Raw genomic sequence first — 8,739 nt, 5'->3', positions numbered from 1 at the left:
GGCCTGGCAGTTGGAGCAGACACTTCCGATCCTGCGAGGGGAGGTGGGCTTCCTGGGTCTCCGAGAGTGAAGGGATGCCCGGGTCTGCAGCTGTGGCTGGGCAGCTGCAGTGCGCCCGGGAGGTTGGGGCTCCTGCCCCTCTAACTCGGAAGGGGGTGAGGCTCCTACCTGTTCCCAGCTCCCGCTGGCTCTGTGGAGTGCGTAGCCTAGGCCGTGCCTCCCCAGCCGCTGCCATGATGCCACTACTATCATTAAGGTGATCTTGAAACTAGCATCCAAGGTCACACTACAAGTGCTCGGAAAATATCTGTTGATTTCTGATTCCTAGATGGCTTTTGCCCACTAGCCCATTAAGGACCTTCATGTCTGTAATGTCAAAAATTATAGACATAGCGTGTGTCTATAATGTTTAAGTTCAGTTTTGGGATTCAAGTGCAGGTGAGACAAATGCTCTCTTTTATGAACTCAGCTTCTCCAGTGTAAACTGAAAAGGAAGCCAGGCAGTGTTGTATTACTGAACTAGTTTGGGGCACACAAATATCCTTGTCAGTTTCAGAAGGGTCAGTGGAGTATTCTGTTCACTGAAAATTTTCATACATTGCAAGGAGATGAAATGCACTGAGAATAAAATGAAATGTCATCCATAGTGAAATGAAATGTCTGGGAAAGGGAAAAGGAGACAGACAAGGATGATAGAGTTGACAGTCATGGGCAGACAGCCGTTTAGCATAAGTTAATTTACCAGCCAGCTCAGTCCAAAAGGATGCTTATATCTGGCTTACTCTATGATATATTAGACTGACACGATGGTAGGAGGAGAGGAGGTATAAAGGGCTATTTCCAAGGACATAATATATTTTGTGCATGAAGTGCAAAAGCACACGAAGGTCCAAGAAGAAACTGATAAGTATTTTTCATCTTTTTCTGACTCATGCCACCCTTGTGTCTATGCCAGCTCCTTTTCTGGAAGGCAAGACCCAACCAGTTTTGATGTACCAAATTAAACTATGTGTCATGCAGGTGGATAAGATATTTCATTTGGCATCAGCCAGAGATATGCATATATCTGCTTTCATATATGTAAGTATATGGCTTTTTCATGAGAGTCAGCTAGAAAGCAAGTCAGCCATATTATGTACATATCTCTTAAAATATGACTTTTACTGGATATTGGTAAATAAGGCCTCTGGTTGTAATTCAAACAACATTTAAAATGCAAAAATGAATAAGACCTTGGTTTCTAGATGCTTGAAATATTCAGAAAGACTAAAAGACCACTTGATTCAGCTTTTCTAGTTATGAGCAGCTGACAAAACAGTTCCTATTAAGGTGCCAGAAACTTTTGCCTTTTCTCCCTAAGAATACAGAAAGGGACACCCAGAAGCAATTGCACAAAAGAGTCATCAAGGAAATGAAGACAAAACACAGTTAGATTGTAAGCAATGCTTGGAACACCTTGGACAGAGTAGTTATTGTCAGGCCTCTGAGCCCAGGCCAGGCCATCGCATCCCCTGTGACTTGCACGTATACATCCAAATGGCCTGAAGTAACTGAAGATCCACAAAAGAAGTAAAAACAGCCTTAACTGATGACATTCCACCATTGTGATTTGTTCCTGCCCAACCCTAACTGATCAATGTACTTTGTAATCTCCCCCACCCTTAAGAAGGTTCTTTGTAATTCTCCCCACTCTTGAGAATGTACTTTGTGAGATCCACCCCTGCCCACCAGAGAACAACCCCCTTTGACTGTAATTTTCCTTTACCTTCCCAAATCCTATAAAATGGCCCCACCCCCATCTCCCTTCGCTGACTCTCTTTTCGGACTCAGCCCACCTGCACCCAGGTGAAATAAACAGCCATGTTGCTCACACAAATCCTGTTTGGTGGTCTCTTCACACGGATGCGCATGAAATTTGTTGCTGTGACTCGGATCGGGGGACCTCCCTTAGGAGATCAATCCCCTGTCCTCCTGCTCTTTGCTCCATGAGAAAGATCCACCTACGACCTCCAGTCCTCAGAACGACCAGCCCAAGAAACCTCTCACCAATTTCAAATCCGGTAAGCGGCCTCTTTTTACTCTCTTCTCCAACCTCCCTCACTATCCCTCAACCTCTTTCTCCTTTCAATCTTGGTGCCACACTTCAATCTCTCCCTTCTCCTAATTTCAATTCCTCTCATTTTCTGGTAGAGACAAAAGAGACATGTTTTATCCGTGAACCCAAAACTCCGGCGCCAGTCACAGACTGGGAAGGCAGCCTTCCCTTGGTGTTTAATTATTGCAGGGATGCCTCTCTGATTATACACCCACGTTTCAAGGGTGTCAGACCACGCAGGGACGCCTGCCTTGGTCCTTCACCCTTAGCGGCAAGTCCCGCTTTTCTGGGGAAGGGGCAAGTACCCCAACCCCTTCTCTCCTTGTCTCTACCCCTTCTCTGCTTTCCTGGGGCAGGGGCAAGTAATCCTCAACCCCTTCTCCTTCACCCTCAGTGGCAAGTCCCGCTTTCCTGGGGCAGGAGCAAGTACCCCTCAACCCCTTCTCCTTCACCCTCAGTGGCAAGTCCCGCTTTCCTGGGGCAGGGGCAAGTACCCCTCAACCCCTTCTCCTTCACCCTTAGCAGCAAGTCCCGCTTTTCCTAGGGGGCAAGAACCCCCCAATCGCTTATTTCCACGCCCCAATCTCTTATCTCTGTGCCCCAATCCCTTATTTCCGTGCCCCAACCCTTTCTCTGCTTTTCTGGAGGGGAAGAAACCCCCACCCCTTCTCCGTGTCTCTACTCTTTTCTCTGGGCTTGCCTCCTTCACTATGGGCAAGCTTCCACCTTCCATTCCTCTTTCTTCTCCCTTAGCCTGTATTCTTAAGAACTTAAAACCTCTTCAATTCTCACCTGACCTAAAATCTAAGCGTTTTTCTTCTGCAATGCCGCTTGACCCCAATACAAACTCAACAGTAGTTCCAAATAGCCAGAAAACGGCACTTTCAATTTTTCCATCCTACAAGATCTAAATAATTCTTGTCGTAAAATGGGCAGATGGTCTGAGGTGCCTGACGTCCAGGCATTCTTTTACACATCAGTCCCTTCCTAGTCTCTGTGCCCAGTGCAACTCATCCCAAATCTTCCTTCTTTCCCTCCCGCCTGTCCCCTCAGTACCAACCCCAAGCGTCGCTGAGTCTTTCTAATCTTCCTTTTCTACAGACCCATCTGACCTCTCCCCTCCTCGCCAGGCCGAGCTAGGTCCCAATTCTTCCTCAGCCTCCACTCCTCCACCCTATAATCTTTTTATCGCCTCCCCTCCTCACACCTGCTCCGGCTTACAGTTTCCTTCCGTGACTTAGCCCTCCCCCACCTGCCCAGCAATTTATTCTTAAAAAGGTGGCTGGAGCTAAAGGCATAGTCAAGGTTAATGCTCCTTTTTCTTTATCCCAAATCAGATAGCGTTTAGGCTCTTTTTCATCAAATATAAAAACCCAGCCCAGTTCATGGCTCGTTTGGCAGCAACCCTGAGACACTTTACAGCCCTAGACCCTAAAAGGTCAAAAGGCCGTCTTATTCTCAAAATACATTTTATTACCCAATCTGCTCCCGACATTAAAACTCCAAAAATTAAATTCTGGCCCTCAAACCCCACAACAGGAATTAATCAACCTCGCCTTCAAGGTGTACAATAATAGAAAGCAGCCAGACGGCAACGCATTTCTGAGTTACAATTACTTGCCTCTGCTGTGAGACAAAACCCAGCCACACCTCCTGCATACAAGAACTTCAAAATGCCTAAGCTGCAGCAGTCAAGCATTCCTACAAGACTTCCTCCATCAGGATCCTGCTTCAAGTGCCAGAAATCTGGCCACTGGGCCAAGGAATGCCTGCAGCCCAGGATCCCTCCCAAGCCATGTCCCATCTGTGCAGGGACCCACTGGAAATCAGACTGCCCAGCTTGCCCAGCAGCCACTCCTAGAGCCCCTAAAGCTCTAGCCCAAGGCTCTCTGACTGACTCCTTCCCAGATCTGCTTGGCTTAGCGACTGAAGATTGACGCTGCCCGATCGCCTCGGAAGCCCCCTGGACCATCACGGACACCGAGCTTCAGGTAACTCTCACAGTGGAGGGTAAGTCCATCCCCTGTTTGATCGATACGAGGGCTACCCACTCCACATTGCCTTCTTTTCAAGGGCCTGTTTCCCTTGCCCCCATAACTTTTGTGGGTATTGATGGCCAAGCTTCAAAACCCCTGAAAACTCCTCAACTCTGGTGCCAACTTAGACAATACTCTTTTAAGCACTCCTTTTTAGTTATCCCCACCTGCCCAGTTCCCTTATTAGGCTGAGACACTTTAACTAAATTATCTGCTTCCCTGACTATCCCGGACTACAGCTATATTTCATTGCTGCCCTTCTTCCCAATCCAAAGCCTCCTTTGCGTCCTCCTCTTGTATCCCCCCACCTTAACCCACAAGTATAAGATACCTCTACTCCCTCCTTGGCGACCGATCATGCATCCCTTACCATCTCATTAAAACCTAATCACCCTTACCCCACTCAATGCCAATATCCCATCCCGCAGTACGCTTTAAAAAGATTAAAGTCTGTTATCACTTGCCTGCTACAGCATGGCCTTTTAAAGCCTATAAACTCTCCTTACAATTCCCCCATTTCACCTGTCCTAAAACCAGACAAGCCTTACAAGTTAGTTCAGGATCTGCACCTTATCAACCAAATTGTTTTGCCTATCCACCCCGTGGTGCCAAACCCATATACTCTCCTATCCTCAATACCTGCCTCTATAACCCATTATTCTGTTCTAGATCTCAAACATGCTTTCTTTACTATTCCTTTGCACCCTTAATCCCAGCCTCTCTTCACCTTCACTTGGACTGACCCTGACACCCATCAAGCTCAGCAAATTACCTAGGCTGTACTGCCACAAAGCTTCACAGACAGCCCCCATTACTTCAATCAAGCCCAAATTTCTTCCTCATCTGTTACCTATCTCGGCATAATCTCATAAAAACACACGTGCTCTCCCTGCCAATCGTGTCCAACTGATCTCTCAAACCCCAGCACCTTCTACAAAACAACAACTCCTTTCCTTCCTAGGCATGGTTAGCGTGGTCAGAATTCTTACACGAGAGCCAGGACCACACCCTGTAGCCTTTCTGTCCAAACAACTTGACCTTACTGTTTTAGCCTAGCCCTCATGTCTGCGTGCAGCGGCTGCCACTGCCTTAATACTTTTAGAGGCCCTAAAAATCACAAACTATGCTCAACTCACTCTCTACATTTCTCGTAACTTCCAAAATCTATTTTCTTCCTCATACCTGACGCATATACTTTCTGCTCCCCGGCTCCTTCAGCTGTACTCACTCTTTCAGTCCCACAATTACCATTGTTCCTGGCCCGGACTTCAATCTGGCCTCCCACATTATTCCTCATACCACACCTGACCCCCATGACTGTATCTCTCTGATCCACCTGACATTCACCCCATTTCCCCAAATTTCCTTCTTTCCTGTTCCTCACCCTGATCACGCTTGATTTATTGATGGCAGTTCCACCAGGCCTAATCGCCACACACCAGCAAAGGCAGGCTATGCTATAGTACAAGCCACTAGCCTGCCTCTCAGAACCTCTCATTTCCTTTCCATCGTGGAAATCTATCCTCAAGGAAATAACTTCTCAGTGTTCCATCTGCTATTCTACTACTCCTCAGGGATTATTCAGGCCCCCTCCCTTCCCTACACATCAAGCTTGAGGATTTGCCCCCACCCAGGACTGGCAAATTAGCTTTACTCAACATGCCCGAGTCAGGAAACTAAAATACCTCTTAGTCCAAATAGACACTTTCACTGAATAAGTAAAGGCCTTTCCTACAGGGTCTGAGAAGGCCACCGCAGTCATTTCTTTCCTTCTGTCAGACATAATTCCTCAGTTTAGCCTTCCCACCTCTATACAGTCTGATAACAGACCAGCCTTTATTAGTCAAATCAGCCAAGCAGTTTTTCAGGCTCTTAGTAGGTTTCAGCGAAACCTTTATATCCTTTACGGTCCTCCATCTTCAAGAAAAATAGAACGGACTAAAGGTCTTTTAAAAACACAGCTCACCAAGCTCAGCCACCAACTTAAAAAGGACTGGACAATACTTTTACCACTTTCGCTTCTACAAGGTACAGCCCATTTAAGCTCCTGTATACATGCTCCTTTTTATTAGGCCCCAGTCTCATTTGACACCAGACCAACTTAGACTGTGCCCCCAAAAAACTTGTCATCCCTACTATCTTTTATCTAGTCATACTCCTATTCACCGTTCTCAACTACTCATATACGCCCTGCTCTTGTTTACACTGCCGGTTTACGCTGTTTCTCCAAGCCATCACAGCTGATATCTCCTGGTGCTATCCCCAAACTGCCACTCTAAACTCTTGAAGTAAATAAATAATCTTTGCTGGCAGGACTATGCTGAATCTCCTTAGGCACTCTCTAATCAGATGTCCTAGGTCCTCCCAATTCTTAGACCTTTTATACCTGTTTTTCTCCTTCTCTTATTCCATTTAGTTCCTCAATTCATCCAAAACCGTATCCAGGCCATCACCAATCATTCTATATGACAAATGTTTCTTCTAACATCCCCACAATATCACCCCTCACCACAAGACCTCCCTTCAGCTTAATCTCTCCCACTCTAGGTTCCCACGCCGCCTCTAATCCCGCTTGAAGCAGCCCTGAGAAACATCGCCCATTCTCTCTCCATACCACCCCCCCAAAATTTTTGCCACTCCAACACTTCAACACTATTTTGTTTTATTTGTCTTATTAATATAAGAAGGCAGGAATGTCAGGCCTCTGAGCCCAGGCCAGGCCATCGCATCCCCTGTGACTTGCACGTATACATCCAGATGGCCTGAAGTAACTGAAGATCCACAAAAGAAGTAAAAACAGCCTTAACTGATGACATTCCACCATTGTGATTTGTTCCTGCCCCACCCTAACTGATCAATGTACTTTGTAATCTCCCCCACCCTTAAGAAGGTTCTTTGTAATTCTCCCCACTCTTGAGAATGTACTTTGTGAGATCCACCCCTGCCCACCAGAGAACAACCCCCTTTGACTGTAATTTTCCATTACCTTCCCAAATCCTATAAAATGGCCCCACCCCTATCTCCCTTCGCTGACTCTCTTTTCGGACTCAGCCCACCTGCACCCAGGTGAAATAAACAGCCATGTTGCTCACACAAAGCCTGTTTGGTGGTCTCTTCACACGGACGCGCATGAAAGTTATTCAATTGCTTTTTTTTTTTTTTTTTTTTTTTTTTTAGACAGGGTCTCACTGTTTGACTCAGGCTAGAGTGCGGTGACACAATCACGGCTCACTGAGGCCTCGACCTCCCAGGCTCAAGCCATCCCCCTGCCTCAGCCTCCCAAGTGCCTGGGACCACAGATGCGTGCCACCAAGCCAGGCTAATTTTTGTATTTTGTGTAGAGACAGGATTTTGCCATGTTGCCCAAGCTGGTCTCAAACTGTGGACTCAAGTGATCGGCCCACCTCAGCCTTCCAAAGTGCCGGGATTACAGGCGTTAGCCACTGCACCCAGCCTCGATTGCTTTAAATGAGAGGGTAGAGAGTTTCCATATGAAGGAAGACCAAGGTCTTTTGACACTTAAGGAGATTGTAATTATCCGGTGACGCTGCTCTCACTACCATTTTTGTTAAATGGTAGTCAATCAGAGTAAAGGCCCATAAAAGAGAAAAAACAATGTTCTGGGCAGAGCAACTATGTCCAGCCAGGTTCAGCTTTCCCTCTGCAGTCATTTTTTTACCCCAGACACAGTCTTTCTATTTGCCTGATCTCTAAATGCCTGGTGGAAAGACAGATGGATAGGAGAGGTGAGTGCTACAGTGGGAATATCTTGCCTATTGACAGCTGTCTGCAGGAAAAATAGAAGGAGGTGTAACTTAATTTGAAAAGACTGTGCTCTTGAAATTTTGGATTTAAATATAAAATGGAATCATATTATACATGCACTTTAGGAATTTATTGTGCAAAGGAAATCTAGGGTATACCTTCTCTTAAGTGCAAATCCTGTTACTTTAAATCAAAACAATACAATTATATTTTAACCAATATGTCCTATAAGCTTGACTTTTAAATGGCAGGTTTTCTTATGGAGAAATACCTTTATACTCTGAAATTTATTTCTGTAATAATTCTGTACTCCAAAGCAATAAAAAAGAAATCACTGAAATATAAAATATATTCAGTGAAAATGTTTAAAAAGCATGGAACCAACAAAAGTTGCCCTTTGTATTTTGTAAGGTAAGAATCTATATTTACTATTTCATAAAAGAAATCATACTTTACATGTAAAAAGTAAAAAGGACATAGCATAAAGGATAGTTGGTAATCTGACAACAGAGAGACACAGATGAAATATATTTTTATAAATATATACATAATTTTTGAGTTTAGAAGAGTTACTATATGAAATCCTATTGCATTGTACATAATTGTTAGTTTGATACACATTTATCAGCTTGTGGTTATATATTCAATAGGACACCACAAAGTAGAGCATCAATGTTCAATTTGTTCTCATATCTTTATCATTCATTATGAAACTCAGTTTCTCAAAGGTTTGTTAGCAAAGATGGAAGTAACACTCTTAATGGCATTTCCCTTCATTTGGAATATTCTATGTAAATGAAAGCAAGTTTCCTGATCGCTCTGATGCTGTCCTTATTCCTTACC

General features: G+C 45.0%; 1 annotated feature.

Annotated features, from left to right (window-relative positions):
• Positions 7,403 to 7,903: an enhancer, noted in NCBI's record as "H3K27ac hESC enhancer chr4:153661870-153662370 (GRCh37/hg19 assembly coordinates)". NCBI's record gives its function as "activates a minimal SCP1, AML or CMV promoter by ChIP-STARR-seq in naive H9 embryonic stem cells {active_cell/tissue: H9 hESC(naive)}" and the evidence as "EXISTENCE:reporter gene assay evidence [ECO:0000049][PMID:30033119]".

The sequence above is a fragment of the Homo sapiens genome, chromosome 4, assembly GCF_000001405.40.
Source record: "Homo sapiens chromosome 4, GRCh38.p14 Primary Assembly".
In the NCBI taxonomy this organism is placed as follows: domain Eukaryota; kingdom Metazoa; phylum Chordata; class Mammalia; order Primates; family Hominidae; genus Homo; species Homo sapiens.
This window is presented reverse-complemented; position numbering and strand designations above follow the sequence as displayed.